This window comes from Homo sapiens, chromosome 11, assembly GCF_000001405.40.
Source record: "Homo sapiens chromosome 11, GRCh38.p14 Primary Assembly".
NCBI lineage: Eukaryota > Metazoa > Chordata > Mammalia > Primates > Hominidae > Homo > Homo sapiens.
The window spans coordinates 69,228,431-69,247,759 of NC_000011.10; the positions used below are offsets into that span (position 1 = coordinate 69,228,431).

At 48.0% G+C, this 19,329-nt stretch overlaps 1 long non-coding RNA gene across 2 annotated transcripts; it reads right to left on the reverse strand.

Annotated features, from left to right (window-relative positions):
* Window positions 1-318: 318 nt before the first annotated feature.
* On the reverse strand, window positions 319-6,504 carry LOC105369367 (uncharacterized). Of its 2 annotated transcripts, NR_188531.1 has the most exons (5): window positions 6,451-6,504; window positions 4,489-4,538; window positions 3,953-4,256; window positions 3,186-3,286; window positions 319-2,584 (listed from the first exon to the last, which is right to left on the reverse strand). It is a non-coding gene; the product is annotated as an uncharacterized LOC105369367 (long non-coding RNA). The 2 variants fall into 2 exon arrangements; NR_188530.1 differs by having other exon boundaries at window positions 3,186-4,256.
* Window positions 6,505-19,329: the final 12,825 nt, after the last annotated feature.

Sequence of the window (19,329 nt, forward strand, 5' to 3'; positions counted from 1 at the left end):
TGGCAGAGCTGGGATTCAGACCTAGAAAGTCTGGCTCCAGAACCCATACACTGATAGAGTATATTTCTGTTCAATATTTATTAAACTCCTGCATGTGTTTGACACTCTGCTAGGCACCAGGGATTTAGGATGGAAAGGACAGTCATTTCCTTGCCTGCCCTCATGGAGCTTCTGATTTGTGGATGGAAGGCATGAACATAGGTGTGGTGGTCATGGTGCCTCCCACCCATCATGAACTTGAACCAAAACAGGAATTCTTTTGTCAGTTTTTTCTATCGGTTTTTGGGGAAGTTTTATTGGAAAAAAAACTTCTAAACAAAAGCTTAAAAAGTATGCTTTATTGTCTTTTACCCTTATTATCGAACCAGTGGAAAATCAGAAAAATACAAGTGCTTACACCAGCAATAAAAAAATATGGTTCTCATCAACACCACCCTTTGCCCCGAGCCCTAGAGTGTCTTTCTCCAAGTTGTCTAAATTTCCCTTCAGTTCCTGGGACCAGCTGAGAGGACAGGGAGCCCACACTTGGCCCCACATGAGACCTGGTTCCATTTCTCTCCTTGGGGCACTCTACAACTTCCCACTCTGCCCGGGTCATGTGTGGAGCTGACTAGATACTTAAAAACAACAACAACAACAACAACAACAACAACAACAAACAATGTTATTTTGTAAGAGCAGTTTTAAGTTCACAGCAAAAATGAGTGGAAAGTAGAGCATTCCCACAGGTCCTCTCTCCCCACGTGCGCAGCCCCGGTTATCAACACGCCCACCAGACTGGTGCATTTGTTACAACTGACGCAGCTACACTGACACGTCATTTCCAGTGAAGTCCAGAGTCTGCATTAGGGTTCCCTATTGGGGCTGCGCCATTTTTCTCACCAGCAGTGAATGAGAGTTCTGCTGCTCCACATGCTCAGCAGCCTTTGGTGCCATCAGTGTTCTGGATTGGACCATTCCCTAACGACATACGATGTGGGGCACCTTTTCAAATGCTTACTTGCATCTGTACATCTTCTCTGGCGAAGTGTCTGTTCAGGTCTTTTGCCCATTGTTTAACTGAGTTGTGCTGACCAGGTACTTTGAGGAACTCCAGACTTGTGGCTATGGCATCATCCTGGGGCCCCATAGGCCAGTTCAGGAGGGTGGCTGGTGAGCGATCCTGCTTGCTGGCCTGTGCAAAATTTGTTAATGTAGCATGCGACTGGCTGCTGGGACAGTGCTGACAGGCTGATTTTGGGTGACCCCACTCGTGTTGGGTGTGGGGTGAGCTCAGGGCTCTGAGCTTCCCATGCTCCTCTGCCCACACTCGAGTTTGAACACATGTGGCCTGTTGTGGGCCCCCACCTGTCTGTGCTGTTACTGTGAGGCCTCCTCTGGCTCCCAGCCCCCTCTCTGCTGCTGGGCTGGGCTCAGGTCTGAAGTCAGGGCAGCACTACAGGTGGCCTCTGACTCCAGCTTCATGCATCTCTGCAGCATTACCAACTGGATACACTAGGCAAAAGGCCTACCTGACATGGGGAGATGGCTGGAGCCTAAAGCTTTTGCATCTCCCAGGCCTTTCAATTCTCAAGCAAAGGAGACAGAACCCACATCAGGTCAAGTGTGAGCCTGCATGAATGGTCAGATGAGCACGGCTGGTGATGGTGGATGGTGGATTTGTGAGCAGAGTTCCCCACAGTGCTCGGGGTGGGAGAAAACAGTTTATTCAGTTTCTGACTTTCAAATATGGACCCTGAACCTTGCTTTGGCTACACACTTGCCACCTGAAAGGAGGATGTGCCACATGTGGTATTGACTTCAATGGGTATCTTTCTAGTACCCTTCTCTTAGAACTGGCCTCTCCTGGAATCTCATTCGGGTGCCCTACCAATGGTCCTGGATGTTTCTCTTCATCACCATCTCCCGCCATGACAAATGGAGCCAGGATGGACACCTGACCCCACCTGTGTTGGTTGGGTTATTTCTGAGCTGGTTTCTTGACCACGAGAATTGAAATGGCCACTTCCCAACTGCCAAGTGCTCCAAGAAGCAGAGAACACAGGAGTAAAAAGAAGCACAGAAGGGACAGAGGTTCCAGTTCTTCTTGAGGCCTGCTGTCCCATCCTTGGGTTTTGAGAGACACCTCTGTGTCCTTGCAGAGAATTCACCACTTTGTTCAAACCAGTCTGAGAAAGCTTCTTTATTGTGGTCCCCAAGTGCAGCTGCTGCAATGACCACTGTTAACTTCCCCGCCTTGGCAAAATAACTGATACTCCAAACTGCTAAGAGTCCCAGGACTGCACCAGTTAGCTATTACTGTGTAACAAATTGTCCCCCGATACAGCAGCTTCAAACAGCCATAAATATTTATTACCTCCCAGGTTCTGAGGGCCAGGCATCTGGGAGTGGCTTGGAGGGGTGTTTCTGGCTCAGGGTCTCATGAGGCTGCAGTCATACTGTCCCTGAGGCTGCATCGTCTGAAGGCTTGGCTGGGGCTGAAGGATCCACTTCCAAGCTCCCATGCATGCTTGTGGACACGTCTCAGGTTCCCACTGCTGTTGGCCAGAGGCTTCAGTGGCTTACACAGGGCATCTCCACGGGGCTGCAGTGTGCTTCCCCCAGAGTCAGAGATGAGAGAGGGAGGGAGGGAGTGGGGTTAGAGAGAGAGACGGGGTGTGGGGCAGGAGATTGAAGCTGCAATCTTTCATAACCTAAGCTTGGAAGTGCTATTCCATCACTTCTGCCACGGGCTGCTGGTCACTTGGACCATCCCTGGGGAAAGGAAACTACACAGGGTGTGAAAACCAGGAGGCGGGGCTCACTGGGGGTCTCTGAGAATCTGGCTACCAGCAAGATCTTGCAGGAAGTGATGGACAGCCCCAGGTGGACGCGTGGCATAGGGGTCTGCTGCCTCCTCCTCGTATTATCTTATCTTCTGAGAGCTGCTCCTGGGTGAACAGGTGCTCACTGCCTCTTTTTCTGGGTTCACATGGACCTGGGTTAGAAAGCTGCCTCTAACATTTACTAGCAAGTGACTTCTCTATGCCTCTATTTTCTTATCTGCAAAATCGGGAGAAAAATATTGTCCTCATCGAGTTTTTCTGAACCTTAAATGCAGAGATCTTATCAGAAAGTTCTTGGCCGTTGTCTCAGAAACTCAGAGTCTCTCCTGCTTTAGGGGCAACGAAAGTTCATTCACCTACCTGTACATCTGTCCGTCCATCTGTACGGGAGGCTGTCCATCTCACACAGGTCTACTGAGCACCCCCAATGTGTCAGGCATGGTGTCAAACACAAGCCAGCACTGGAGAGAAAATGGGCTGTGTGCTCAGAGTGTGACCAGGAGGCCCAGGCTCTGGGCTGCCCGAGCCCACGTGGCCAGGCTGGGAGGGGCTATGAAGGGAGGAGCATCAGGGAGGCTTCAGGAGCTGAGCTTTAAGGCCAGTAGGATGGGGAGAGGCCAGGTGACAGGAGGAGGATGGGAGAGAAGTCAGGGAATGGAGGCAAAGCACAGAGATGAGGGAAGACCTGCCATATTCTGCAGTGTTGCCCAGGTCCTAATGATGAGAGATGCAGCTGTCAAGGAAGGTGGGAAGCTCACGCAGGGCCAGTATCTTGCTAAGGGACTAGAGGGTGGGGACTTCTGGGGGGTGCTGGAAACTCAAAAGGTTTAAGCAGGTGAACAACAATTTCAGATAACTCCCAGGTGAGTGTGTAGACATTGGAACTGGAAACCCTGCAAGGTGGGGGCAGGGAGATACTTTTATTGTTCCCTGTTTGCAGAAGTAGAAGTTGAGGCTTGAGAGGTGAAGAAGCTTGTGGGAGGTGTCACAGGCCTAGGTGTGGAGTGCGGCTTTAAGCCTTGGCTGTTGGGCCCCTAGCACAGGCCCCCACCCAACTGCCCTGAGCACCTGCTGTAGGTTAAATCGTGTCTTTCAAAAAGATATGTTCATATCCTAACCCCTGGTACCTTTGACTGTGACCTTATCTGGAAATAGCGTCTGTGCAGATGTAATCTTGAGATGAGATCATTCTGGGTTTAGGGTGGGCTCTAAATCCAATGACTGATGTCCTTACAAGAGAAATGAAGGGAGACTTCAGGCAGACACAGAGGAGAAGGCCATGTGAAGATGGAGGCAGACATGGGTGATGCGCCTACAAGCCTGAGAATACCAGCACCAGAAGCTGGAGAGAGGCCTGGGGTGATTCTCTCAGAGCCTCCAGAAGGAACCACCCTGCTTTACACCTTCATTTCAGACTTCTGGCATCTGGAACTGCAAGAGAATGAATTATTGTTGTTCTAAGCCACCTGGTTTTTGATCATTTTTGTTAGAACAGCCCTAGGATATGAATCTAGCCTCCAAAGCCCCCTCCTGGGGATAAGCCGGCCTCCTGGCCTGCCACAACTCCCGGAGTTTCCAGCCACTCAACAAGAAAGCAGGGAAGATTCTGAGCCCCAGACCCAGGTGGGAGGATGGAGGGGCTCCTCCTCTTGCCTGCTCTCACCAGGAAAATTCCGCGATGTCACCTGCTTCTCCAGGGCATGATCTGAGCTCCTACAAACAGAGAGATAGAGAGAGGCAGACAGATAGTCACCAGGCAGAGCAGGAGGGGCACCCTGTCTGGGGACAGTGGCTCTGAAACCTTAGTGTCTAGAAGAGTCATCTGGAGCGCTTGAAATACATCCTTGAGCCCCCACCCCCAGCGGTTCTGATTCAGTCAGTGTGAGGTGGGGCCTGGGAATATGTATGTCTCCCCAGTTCCCAGCAACCTTGACACTGCTGGTTTGGGGACCACACTTTGAGTAGCACTGTTCCAGGCAGAGGGGGCTACTTGGATAGAGGCTGGGAGAAAAGAGCAGAGGCGCAGTCTGGGCAGACAGCAGCTATCACGGAGCTTGGTAATGACGTTACAAGTGGGACAGGTCATGCGGAGGAGGGCAGGTGCTCGCCAAGGCCAGGATGGTAGCACCAGGGTCTGCCTGAGGGAAGGGGAGCCATGCATGGGCCAGCGCATACGGAACATAGAACTTGGGCAACCAAGTGGCAGATGGGGGCCTTCAGTCAAGGGCCTTGAGTGAACATGAAGGTCAGCGGCTGCCGACATGGGGGTTTAGAGAGGGAACCCCATCCTCAGGCCGGCGGGCGGGGGGTTGTCAGCTCACGAACATCAGTTCCCTCAACAGTGGCCCCATTATCCAAACTGGGTGCCAAAACTTTCTTAGAAACTCCAGCCTGCAACCTGCAGTGCCCAGGCTCACAGGTGGACTTTGCTGAGAGAGGCCCAGATGCTGATACACTGAAACCGATCAAGAAGCTTGGAGGGCAAGCAGGCCCCATTCCCCCTTTGAGTTCTTCTCAAAAGAGAAGACTCCTTCCATCTGCAATGCCAGGCCCCAGCTTTGCCAATGCCGCCCACCCCCCATGGAGCCTGGCTGGGCCCAGAGTGCTTAATGCAGTACGCAGGGCCCTCCACAGACCTTTCCCAGCTGGTAAGAGCTGTTTTCTTTTCCCCTCTAAGAGGTTTGTTCCTGGTCATAAATTCTGCAGGCCCGGTCGGCCAGACTAGGATGTACACGTTGGTAAACACTGTAGTTCAAAACACGCTTCACGCTTCACGGCTGAAAAAGGCAGCCCCGACAATGGAGCCTTGTCCCCGGCAGCAACTCTAACGGCCACCTTCTTTCATTCCTTAACCTTGCTGTGGGCTTGTATGAAATTGGTCCCATTCTCTGGGGTCCATCAAACGTGCATTTAAACGACTTCATTAGCATCTTCCTCTGATCCATAACCACTGGGCAAATCCAAAAGTCATTTCGGTGAGGGCAGCCGCGGTTTTCTATCTGGTGAACATCTAAAACTCCTTGACAAAGTTCCTTTTAAAATTTACTTCTTTTGTTCCGTCTTCGTCTTCTGTTGAGATCTTTAGTGGCCAATGTACTCCGAGATGACTTGGGGACAAAAATCCCGTCTGGCCCAGACAGTAAATCTAGCCTCCATTCAGACGGCTTAAATGCATGCTTTATGCCTATTGTCCCCGGCTCTCCAAAAGCTCCTGCGCCTTCAAGGGTTTCCTACAATAAATTAAGCCCATCCAAGACGGTGGAGGGAAAGAGGGCCTGCCTGGATGCTGTCGGAAGGCCAGGCTGGGCCGGGCCCCGACACAGCCCACCCATCGCCCTGGACCTCTGGCCTCTAGGTATCTGGGATTCTCCTTTGTGAGAGGCAAAAAAAAAAAAAAAAACCCAACCAAAAAAAACCCCCAAAAAAACCCCAACTTGAAGTGGATTCAGCCACAATGTATTGGATGGTGAACACGAAGGGCAGGAGGAAGGGGGGGGGGTGGGGGTGGTAGGGAGGGGCCTGGTTCAGGCCCCACAGGCCCTAGGACGCTGGTGCCCTCTCCCCCTCTGGCCACACCCTCCAGGGCTCTGCTGACCCCTCCCCAGCTTCCCCCCTGCATTCGTACCATGGCGGGAGCAGTGCAAGCCTCACGTCTAGTAGGAAGCAGCAGGAGTCTTTCCCAGCATTCCCCAACAAGAGTCTCATTGGCTGTGGTTGGGGCACATGACAGTCCCTGACCAATCACTGAGGCCTGGGTCTGATTGGCTAGGCTTGGGTCACATGGCCCACTTTTGGCCCAGTGGGTGAAGCCACTCTTGAAATGGATCCTGGCCAGGAGGAGTCCTCCTTATAGGAAAGTTGGGTTACGGTTCCCAGAAGAGGTGGGAAGGGATGCTGGGTAGCCAGAACTGACACTGGCTGTGATCTCTAACCAAGGGCATTGCGTTTGTCCCACATTCCGAAATTCACAGTGGCAGGTGGTGGCTCAGAGGCTGGAACCTGGCCCTGAGAGACCCATTGCCTTTCTCTGTTCTGTAACCTCTTCCCATAGAGATTTTTATCCTGTAACCCTGTGGTCATCACCATGCCTCCCATTTATGTGCAGTTCCTATGGGCTCCTGATGCTTTCCTGGATTTCTCCCAGGAGAGGCTGTTGGGTGTTGGGGTGTTGGGGAAGAGAATTAGTGTTCTGCAGTCTGGAGTTCACTGGTCTGCAGACTGCTAAAAGTCTGGGGGCTGCGTCTGCCAGGGATAGTGGCTCTGGCTGGTATGGGGACCAAGGGCAAAAGGATCAGTGATTTCAGCAGATGCCTTTGAGCCCCGAGTCTCTGGCTGTGGACTAGTCCAGTAGAAAGAGTGTCTTGGAGTGTGGCAGAGTCCCAGTCCCCTGTCTTTCTTACTGTCAAAACCAAGGTTTGGGCAATCGATGATCTAGCTAAAAAAACGATGTTTTTCAGCCTGTCCTTTCTGGGCTCCTCCTGTCCCAAACACAGATGTGAAGCAATGTGCGAGAATTCCTATTCTACAATCGCTGTGTATATTTAACACTATGAAGCTTCTCTTTTTTGCCAGTCTGACGGATATGATGGGGCATCGCTTACTGCTTTCATTCCCATTTCCTTCATCATCATTGAGGTTGGTTGTAGTGTCTATTCTGGTTTCTTTCGCTATATTTTGACTCGTTGTATCCTTTGACCATGGTTTTAAAATTTGTAGACATTTTTAATATATTCTAATACAAATCCTTTGTCAATTATAAGTATTGCATATATCTTCTTCTTTGTGCCTGTTCTCTTCATTTTTCCCACAGTATCTTTGGTCATACTAAAGTTTTTTTTGTTGTGTGTTTTTTTTTTTTTACATTTGATACAGTTAAATTAAATCTTGTTTTGATTGTACTTTTTGTGTTAGTTTAATACATAATTTCTTATCTTGGTGTCAGAAAGGCATTCTATCAGAATTTATTTTCAAATTGTATAGATTTTCCGTGTACAGTTTGGTCTTTGGCTCAACTGAAATTTATTTCTTTTTGTAGGTGTAAGGAAAGGATATATTTTTATCTTGTTTTCCTTTGTAAAGCCATTTGTCCCCAATCCATGTATTGAATTCTTTTTCTTTTTTTTCTACAGATATATTCTTATATATTGTTTCCATAAAATTCCTCTCTATTTTGTCCCATCAATCTATTTATTCATGCACTAATACCACACAATTTTAATTATGATAGTTTTACTGTTAATCTTTATCTTTGGTATGACTCTTTCTCACTCGTTCCTTCCTTCCCTACCTTCTTTTCCTCGTCTTCCTTTTTCAAGACCTTCTTCCTGTTTTTAGCACCTTAATCATTCACATAAATTTTAGGATTACCTTGTTAAGTTTTATGAAATAATCTGTTGGAATTTTGGTTAGACTTGCCTTAATTCATACATTAACTGGAGTAGAATTGTCATCTTTACCATACTGAGTTCTACTCAGGAGCATGACATATCTCTTAATTTATTTAATGCTTCCTTTGTGTCTTTCCATGAAGATTTAGAATTTTCTCCATAGGTCTTGCATGTCTTTTGTTAGACTTCTTCCTAGGTGCCGCTCTTTATTTAATGCTATTTTAAGTGTTATCTTTTTAAAGTTACTTTTTATGATTGTTGATGAATTAGAATGTAATTGAATCTACTTAGATTTTCTTACAAGAAAATAATTCACTGGTAAATAATGGCAAATAGACATAGTTAATTAAGTCAACAGAGAAATAGAATTTCAAAAAATATTCTATTAAGGACCAAATGGAACAAAAAAAAGGAAAGGATAAACATAGGGGAATATAAAAGAGAAGACAAATGGACCTAAATTCAACTATATATAAAATTATGCTAAAAAATTTAACATTCTGAGAGAGAGAGAGAGAGGAAGAAGACTCAACCTGCTGTCAACAAGAGACACATTTTAAGTATAAAGACACAGATAGATTGAAAGTAAATAGGTGGAAAATGATATACCATACAAACGATAAGCATAAGAAGGTTGGTTGAAGGGGTTATATTAAATCAGATAAAATAAACTTCTAGGCAAGGTGCAATAACTGGTATAAAGAGGAACATTTCATAAAAAACATAATAACACATGTAATAAATTACTTAATAGCAAAGGGACATTCATAAGGAAGATACAATAGGCTATATATATATATCTGTTAATGGATCTTCAACATGAATGAAGCAAAATTTGACAAAATTGCAGGGTGAAAAAATATCCACAAATATGATTGGAAATTTTAGTACCTATCTGTCAGCAATTGATAGAACAACTAGACAGAAACTGAGAGAAGACATGGAAAAGCTAAGCATAAGTATCCTATTAACTGCCTTTGTTGAATTGATACTTATAAAAATCAACATCCCCAAGGAGAGAATACACACTTTTTTCATATTCATTATGATGGACTATATGCTGCACCATACATGAAAATTGTTACTGTTCTTGTCTTTTTCCCTCTGTGTATAATGTGTCTTTTTCTCTGGCTGCTTTCAAGATTTTCTCTTTATCACTTGTTTGATTACAATATGCCTTGGTGTAGTTGTCTTTACCTTTTATCCTGCGTGGGATTCCTTAGGCTTCTTGGGTCTGTGGGTTTAGAGTTTACATTATATTTGGAAAATTTTCAACCATTGTTTCTTCAGATATTTTTCCTGTCCCCTTTGTATTGATCATCTTATGCTACATAAATATTTACCCCAAAACTTAGTGGCTTGAAACAATAAGCATATTATCTCACGCAGTGTTCTGTGGGTCAGAAATTTGGTAGAAGCTGAGCTGGGCACCCCTGGATCAAGGTCTCTCATAATAAGTTTACAATCAAAGTGTTGGGCTGCAGACATCTAAAAGTAATAGTTCTTTCCCAGATGGGCCTGTTTAGAGGGCTGCTTGAGTGCTCTCATGACATGATGGAGGCTTCCCCAAGAATGAATGATTCAAGAGAGAATAAGACAGAAGCCACAATGTCTTTTATCGGCTTGCTTTCCTTTCTAGGAGTTTGCTTTGGTCAAGTTGGTTGATTGTGTTAAGTTGTCTGTGTTCCTCTTAATTTTCTGTGGAGTTGTTCTGCCAGTTAGTGAGAGAGAAGTGTTAAAATCTTTGCCTAAAATTGTGGATTTTTACATTTCTTTTTTCAGTTTTGTCTGTTTTTGCTTAGTGTGTTTTGAAACACTCTTATTCATTGCGTACACATTTAGAATGGTTATATCTTGGTTAAGTGACTTTAGCATTATGAAACATCCCTCTTTATATCTTTTTCCGTCCTTTTACTTTAACCTATGTGTATATGTGTATTTAAAGTGGATTTCTTGTATACAGCACATAGCTGGGTGTTGATCTTTTATTCAGCCTGACAACATCCATGCAGAATTTTGATGGTGACTTAAACTTTCCTCTAAGTCAAAATTGCCACAATATGTTCTGTGTCACATTTTTTCAGGACTTCAGAGGATATGTCTCTCTAGAGGATGTGTCATCATTGCAAATCCGTCCTCTGCAGTCAGCAGGGATGCTTCCATTTTATAGATGAGGGTATTGAGCTTCCACGAGGGGAGGTGAAGTACTTGAGTCCACTCCCACGGCCACCAGAGGTTGAAGCACGACTCTCTGGCTCCTGGCCAGCCTTCCTTTTCCCATCACAGCTGCAGCTGTGGGGAAGGAGGATGATTCTGAACTGACCCTGTGGGTTGAGATGGAGACCTCCAGCTTCCTGGGAAGAGTTCTTCCTTCTTTGCAAAAATAAATGAATTGATATAGGCCATTTTGTATTCAAATTAGATTGGTCAGGGGCTATTTAAGCAACCACATCAGAAGGCTCATTTTCCCTTTTGACATTAAAGTGTCTTTTCCAGAAACTGTAGGAGGTGGGGTTTCCCTAGAATGAGTTGACAGCTTGTACCTATTGTTAAAAAAAGCAAAAAAAAGAAAAGCCTTGTACACCTCTTCCCACATCTTCAATGGTAACAGAATGAGCATAATCGAAAGAGGTTTGTGATGATTATTTTTTTTTTAAGAGAAAACACTCACAGCCTTCTGCCTGGTGTAAGGCTGAAATAGGGCAAAAGGGGAAACTGAGCATGAGCAGGGCATAGAATATCAAAGGCAGTAAGTCCTTTTGGCCACATCTGGACTCTTCTCCCATCCCACAGAAAACCTCCCCAGCCAGTCTGGAGGTGGGTGGATGGCGAGGGTCCCCTTTCATAGGTCACTTGATCCGCTCCTTGCCCACCCCTCCTGCCCACCCTCTGCCGGCTTAGGTTACCCCTGGAAACCACCCACATTTTTCATCTGTCCAGAGAAATCAGGAGGGGACGAACACCTCTGTTGGGTTTTCCAATCAAACACTGGGGGAACGGAGCATTTTAATCCTCAAGAATCTCCCCACCAGCGAAGTGAACCCCTGAGAGGCACTGTGGATGTGCAAAGGCAAGCCCTGTCCCCGATGGCCCAGCACTAAGTGGTAGAGATGACATGGTCATGACAACACCGAGGCTCAGGCATGAGAGGTGTGTCAGCCCCATCCTGGGACACTGCGACAGTGGGGACAAGGAAGACTGCTGGTCAGAAACAGGGTTCAGAGGCAGGCCCGACTGACATTGACAAAGCTCCTTTCATGTGCTGCTATAGGAGGCAGGTGGGCTCTGGGATCATTTGGCAGCTTGTACCTATTGTTAAAAGAGGAAAACAGGCCAGGCGCAGTGGCTTACGCCTGTAATCCCAGCACTTTGGGAGGCCCGAGGCAGGCGGATCACGAGGTCAGGAGATCGAGACCATCCTGGCCAACATGGTAAAACCCTGTCTCTACTAAAAATACAAAAATTAGCTGGGCGTGGTGACGTGTGTCTGTAATCCCAGCTACTCGGGAGGCTGAGGCAGGAGAATCGGTTGAGCCCGGGAGGTGGAGGTTGCAGTGAGCCGAGATCGCGCCACTGCACTCCAGCCTGGTGACAGAGTAGGACTCCTTCTCAAAAAAAAAAAAAAGAAAAAAAAAAAAAGGAAAACAAAATATGGTAAATATCTTGTCACCTCTTCGATGTAGGATGGCATGAGATGACATAAGCCCAGTTCTTCCAAATGTCCCCATTTTACAGCAGAGGAAACTGAGGGTCAGGATCTCTTTGGGCACGGTTGCAAAGAAAGGCCTCCTAGAGAAAGGGGCCTGTGTGCAAGCCCAGGGGGATGGGGGGTGAGGCTTAGAGCATTTCCCGTGGGTGGAAACAGTGAACAGGCCTCTGGAATCAAGCTAGCCCATAACCTGCCCGGGGCACAGCAAGTGGTATGGCGAGAACAGACCAAGTTTTGGGTGCCGAATAAGGATGAGGTAAACCAGGGGCAGAGTTTTGGAATCTCAGCCCAAAGGAGTGGCCTGAGTCCAAGGCTGGGGGAGCATGCACCTGCTGGTTGCTGACACAGGTGATCCTGGCTGTGTTTTTGTTAAGACTGGCTTTGTCGTAGCTCCATGGATCTGGGCACAATCCAGAGATGTTGTCTTCTTGCACACTCATTTTACAGATGAAGAAATCAAGGCTTGGGGTAGTAGAGAACTTTCCAGAAGTACAGGGCAAGTTTGTGTCTAAGCAAAGCTGAGCCCTCTGCCCCCTTGTGGTGATCTCCTCAGCCCCGTTCTCATCCTTCCAGGGCAATAGTCTTTCCTTGGGAGTAAAGTTCAACCTCAGTTTGGCCCAGACATTTGGCTTTTCCCAGTGGTGGCAGAATTTGTGGGATCAGTGTGTGTGTGTGGTGGGGGCAGGGCAGGGGGCTGAGTTAGGGAGCTTAGGGATGGGCAGCTTCTCCCACATCCATAAAATTGGGGCGTTTACCAATTCCCACAGCTGGTATAAATACCCTCCCTGGTGCTTAGCAAAGGCTGCTGGGAGTGGGGTTGCCCCTGCCCGACTCAGATTCTCTTAAAGACCCAGGAGAAACACTTGCATTGCAATGAGGTCTCTATGTCCTCAACCATTGGACTGAGCACCTCCGCATGGGAATGTCTGGAATTGCAGGTTTTGAAGGCCTAAATTAGGGCTGTGAATGATTTTCTTCAAAATTCAGGGGCCTGTGGGCATGGCCACAACCCTCACCTGGATGCCTGTCCTCTGTTCACCCTCTGTTCTCTTTCCAGCAGAACATTCAGCCCAGCCTTGGGTGTCAGGCATGTGCCTGCCTCTCTGACCTCATCTGGTGGCCAGGCTGTGGGAAGGGAAAACTGGAGGAGTCTTTGGGGGCTGAGCCTCTGGGCATTTGTAGGAGGCACCACCAGGGTGTCAATGAAGATAATGACGCTGAAGCTCCAGGCCCTTCATTTGCATGGGCCCATCCCACAGTTCAGCGTGGGCTTCCCTGCCCCTACGCTGAAGGATGCTCCTTGACTGTGAGTGGGACTGTGGGCTGTGGCAACCTGGTAGGTGGACCTCATGGATCACTGACTCTCTCTCTTGGCTCCAAGGAGGAAGATGAAGCAGTCGCTGCTGCGCTTCCTGCTCAGGGCCATGGTGCCCAGGCTTTATGGCCATCTCTTCCCTCCAGGACCAGAGGGAATGAGGGCCTGGCTCAGTTGGCTTGGTTGCCCAACTGTGGTCATCAGGAGGGTGAATGATGTCAAAGAACTGGTGTCTCTTACAGATACCCTGCCCAGGCAAGAAATTGTAGAGGACATTTCAGATACGGCCTTGCCAATAACAACACATGTAATTGAAAGAAATTTCCCTAAGACATCAAAAGTAAACAAACTGCTTTTAAACAAAACAAACAAACAAAAAACATGTGCTGGAGGACAGACTGAAGCATTTTTTATTCGCTCTGTGGAAAATCATATTACGAAATCATTGTCATACAAATAAGCAATCAAAGAATATGCAGCCAAAAAAAATGTAGGAAAAGGGTATTATAGAGGTGGCCGAGGCAGTTACTTACTTGTGGAATCATATGCTATTTTTCTGATTTGATACTTATGGTTTGTTCAGCTTTTTACAAATTTGTCATTTCTTTCTCATTCTAAATGATTTTTTTTTTTTTGCACTTTGTAGCTGTTAATTTGGTGTTATTTTTCTTAAATAAGCCCTCCAGATTGCATAACGTTTAGGCCCCCAAAGTCCAGACCACTCCAGTTCCCAGCCTCACCATTTGTTCAGAAATGAGCTGCTTGCTTCCTGCTTTCACTCAAGACCTTGGGTGAAAGCAGGAAGCAAGGCCGAGGCTGTGTATTATTGCACTTCCCGTAAGGGGGTCTGCTTGAAAGAATATTTCCCATCCTCCTAAAAGGAACAAAAGCTGTTGCAAGTATTGAATTCCCTAGTCACAGGGTTTGTGGGGATCTGGGGTCCACACAGAGGCCTCTGGGGAGAGGAACAGAGGGAGGCAGAGGGGTGGGGGAAGGGCTCTGTGAGAGCTGGGTCAGACCAGATGGCAGAGCAGGTGGTCAGGTGAGAAGGGCCAGGGATATCCTCCCCTCCCACTTCCCTGGGGATCTCCAGGCCTTGCCCTTTCCCAGCTCAGGACAAGATGCCAGGGGAAGCTGGCCTTGTGTGGCACTACTAGCCCCAGTGAGGCTAACATGGGGGTATGCAGGCTGCTTTATGACAGCAGTGTCCTGATGTCTGGGGCATGTGAGCATCCTTGTGGTGTGTCCCCATGTGCACACATGCATGTGTGCCCACATGTGAGAAGGAGGTGGGGGCATTGCTGCCAGGAGATGGATCATGGGGAGAGAAAGAAACTCTTTTTACCAACTCTTGGAATCAGGCCTGTTCATACATGATGGCATTGCTGGATCTGGGGATGTGTCTGTAGATGAATTTCAAGGTCTCTCTTGGCTTAAAATTTCTAAGAATCCCAAGCAATTACCTTGCAGGAGAAATATGGGAAAAGCCCTTTTTTAGTCTGTCCATTCATGCATCTTTTTATTCAATCACCTATCCGTTCACTGACTTAGGCATCCATCTACCCACTCACACATTCACCCATTCACTCATCCATCCAACCATTCATCTACTCATCCAACCATTCATCTACCCATCCATTCAGTCATCCATTCACTTGCCCATTGACCCACCCATCCATCCATCCACCCATCCATCCAACCATCCATCCACCCACCCATCCATCCATCCATCCACCCATCCATCCATCCATCCATCCATCCACCCACCCACCCATCCATCCATCCATCCATCCACCCATCCATCCATCCATCCCCCCACTCAACTGATGCTCATTGAACCACACATTGTGCTGAAACATGCTCTGGCTGCTGAGTGTTGGGGACATAGGTGAGTCAGACATGGTCTTTACTCTGAGTCTTAGTGCCATTCTGAAGAAAGATCAGGGGAGAAACAATTGCAACAGGACAGGGTCCATGGTTTGGTTGAGGCCAGTGAAATGGGAACCCCAGGGAGCTCCTAACTCATCCTGAGATAGACCCAGGAGGAATTCACAGAGCAGCAGGCCAAGGGAGACAGCTCTGCTCAGCCTCTAGGGACAGATGAAGTATGTGGCAGTCAGCTCCAAGTCCATGTTGGTCACCTGTTGGCATTCACACCCTTGTGTGGTGTCCTTCCACCTTGAGCCCAGGTTGGTCTGTATGATGGAGTCAGTGCAGCAGAGGTGACAGCATGTGTCTAGGCCATAAAAGGCATTAAGCTTCTGCTTTGGCCTCATGAATCCCTCTCTCTGAGGGAAACCAGCTGCTATGACATCAGGACACTCAAGAGGCACATTGGCGGGGAACTGAGGATTCCTACCAGCAGCCAGCACTCACTAGCCATGAGGGAGCTGCTTTGGAAGCAGATCCTCTGGCCTGGTCAAACCTCCAGAGGACTACCCCTCCAGCTGACATCTGCTTGTATCTTCATGAGAGACCCTCAGCCAGCACTGCCTAGCCCAGCCCTGTGATCCACAGAAACTGTGAGAGTAGCAAATGTCTATTGTTTAACCCTCCATGATGGGGGAATTTGTTACACAGCAATGAATAACTGATACATGGGGCATGGAGGGAAACCTGGCGATGCCCTGGTGCAGTCCCCATGGGGGTGAGGTGGAAGGGATGTAGCTTGGGAGGGCCTTCCCTGCTGAGTTGGGGACCTCACCCCTCAGCCTCTGGGCCCTGTGGAGCCATGGCAAGCTGATGCATGATAAGCTTTTGTTTAATGAAGGTCACTCTGTACAGGGGGTCGTTCACTCCAGGAAGCTATCCTTGACCACCTCCCTGTATCAGGCCGGGCTGCCTGCCTTTATAGGATCCCCAAGCCCTGAACTTGCCCTGCACTGCACCTGTTATTAGTCAATATTGTGATGGTCCAGCTGACTATATGTCCCCACTACTGGACTATGTGCTTGGGGTGAAGTGTTAGTGTAGACAGGGCAGTAAATATGTCTGTCTTGCTCACGGTGTAACCCCAGTACCATGTATAGGACCTGCTATGCAGTACGGACTTTGATATGATTTGGCTCTGTGTCCCCACCCAACTTTCATCTGGAATTATAATCCCCATGTGTCGAGGGAGGGACCAGGTGGGAGGTGATTGGATCGTGAAGGCAGTTTCCCCCATGCCGTTCTTGTGATAGTGAGTGCGTTCTCATGAGCTCTGATGGTTTTATAAGGCAGTCTTCCCTGCTCTTGCTAGCTCTCTCTTTCCTGCTGCCATGTGAAGAAGGTCTTTGCCTCCCCTTCACCTTCTGCCATGATTGTAAGTTTCCTGAGGCCTCCCCAACCATGCAGAACTATGAGTCAATTAAGCTTTTTTCTTCATAAATTACCCAGTCTCGGGAAGTTCTTTATAGTAATGTGAAAACAGACTAATACAGACTTTTTACATGTTACTGAGCAGACACAGGATGAGTTACAATCTGATGGGCCCTCTGGGCTGTAGGGCAAGAGTCTCTGGCATCCTCATTTTACAGCTGTGACCCAGGAGGGAGGATCTCCTACACTGGGCAACTGCAGCTTCCAGCCCTGCAGGCTGTGACTCCTCTTGGATCTCATCCCCAATCCCTGGACTTTCCTCCTCTGCACCACCCACCTTGACACCCATCTGGCTGCCACGAGTAGTTTCCATCAGAGCCAGAGTTTGGGTGAAAGGAGTTTCCAGAAGGTGTCCCCTACTCATTCAGTAGATATTCACTCAGGGCCCACTGTCCTGGAGAAACAAAGAAGTGAGTGCTAGGAAGAGAGATTAACTAGGATGAGGGGCTGGGGGTGTCTGGGGGTGGGTGTGGGGGCTGTCTGAGTCATGGTGTCAGGGCGTGCTGTACTGACAAGGGGCATTTGAATAGATCCCTGAGAAATGTCTGAGAGTGAGCCCTGTTGGTACCTGGGGAGGAGTGCTCCTGGCTACGGCAGCCACAGTGTGTGCAAAGGCCCTGAGGCAGGAGTTTGCTTGGTGTGTTGGAGGAGCAGCAAGGGGATCAGTGTGGCTGCAGCAGAGTGAGTGCAACCGAGAGCTGATGAGGTCAGGAGGTGGGGGCCAGGCAGGCCAGGGAGGGCCTCGTGATGTGGCTGGAGAAGGTGAAGTGCTTGTTCCTGGCCTGGGAGCTTATCTCAACGGTTCCTATGCTCCCAGCTCTCTGACATTGGCCCACGGCAGCCCCAGAATGGATGCTTTGCAACATCTAACAGTTTGGGGGCTAAAATTAGGTGCCAAGCTGGGTTAGGGCCAGCAGAATGCCACTACATATGCTTGGCATCTGCATGGCAAGGGGAAAATGTTGCTGCTGCCTCTTGTCCATGTTGCTGTACCTCAGCGACTTCCAGAGTAAAATTCAACGTCTGCGGCCTGGAGTTGGAGGCTCTTCTGTGTCTAGTCCCAGCTTGTGTTTCCAGCCTGAGCCCACCTTGCAGGCTGAACTTCCCCTCCCCTCCAAGCTGTGAGCTGAGGTCCAGGCTACTGCCTCCCTCTTCCTAAAATGCTCTTTCTGGCTACCTTGCCTGTTCTCCCCCTTGGAGTCTGAGCTCAAGGGCACCTGCTCCGTGACGCTTCCCTACACCCCAGCCCAACAGGTGGCGGGTCTTTTTTCTGCCGCGCAGCTCCCGCCGCACACTGGTTTCTTCTGGCTTGTATTGTTTCTGATGAGATGTCTTCATCATTCTTATCTTTGTCTCCCTGTAAGTAATGTGTAGTTTTTTGCTACTTTATTGAGGTATAATTTATATCCTGTCAAGTTAATGCTTTTGAGTGTATACTTCTGTGAGTTCTGACAAACACACACAGTTGTTTAATTACCTGCACAGTCAAGATACAGAATGTTTCCATCACCCCTGAGGGTGCCTCATTCCCACCCTCAACTCCTAGAAACCACTTAATATTAGTCTGTTGGGGCTGCTACAAAGAAGACCATAGACCAGGGGCTTTAAACAACAGACATTTATTTTTGCTCGTTCTGGAGGCTAAAAGTCCAAGATCAATGTGTGATTAGGGTTGGTTTCTATTTTCTCTCTCTCTCTTTTTTTTTTTTTTGAGACAGTCTTGCTCTGTCACCCAGGCTGGAGTGCCGTGGTGAGATCTTGACTCACTGCAACCTCTGCCTCCTGGGTTCAAGTGATTGTCCTGCCTCAGCCTCCTAGGTAGCTGGGATTACAGGTGCCTGCCACCATGCCTGGCTAATTTTGTGTGTGTGTGTGTATTTTTAGTAGAGATGGGGTTTTGCTATGTTGGCCAGGCTGGTCTCGAACTCCTGACATCTGAGCCTGGCCAGGGTTGGGTTCTTGTGAGTCCTCTCTTCCTGGCTTGGAGATGGGTGTCTTTCTGCTGTGTCTTCACATGGTGGGAAGAGAGAAAGAGAGAAAGAGAGAAAGAGAGAGAAAGAGATATGGTATGTCTTCTTCTTCTTCTTCTTTTTTTTTCCCGAGACGGAGTCTAGCTCTGCTGCCAGGCTGGAGTGCAGTGGTGCAATCTTGACTCACTGCAACCTCCTCCTCCTGGGTTCAAGGGATTCTCCTGCCTCAGCCTCCCGAGTAGCTGGGATTACAGGCATGCGCCACCACGCCTGGCTAATTTTTGTATTTTTAGTAGAGAAGGGGTTTCACCATGTTGGCCAGGCTGGTCTCAAACTCCTGACCTCAGGTGATCCTCTGGCCTCTCAAGTGTTGGGATTACAGGCGTGAGCCACCATGCCCGGCCAAGATTGTGTCTTAATTCAACACTGTGTACCTTTCATGTTGTGCAGTGCCAGGCATGTTGCTGTGTTTGTTTATTACTTGTAATTTACTAGATTCTTCTATTTCTTGACCTTCTGGAATTGAACACAATCAATTGCTATTAGTTATTTATTTATTTGCTTTTTTATTGTTTTCTTAAGCTTGTGAGGTCTTTAGGTGAGAGTGGGAAGGGAGTGGCTTCCAACACACGAAACATCCAAGGAAGAAGTCAGAGTTCCATGTATAAAACCTAAAGAAATGGCTTCTTTTTCTATTTTAAGCAAGGTAGTGGAGATGTTCTGTTCTGAAGGTTGCAGTCAACACTATCACAAGGTACAGGGA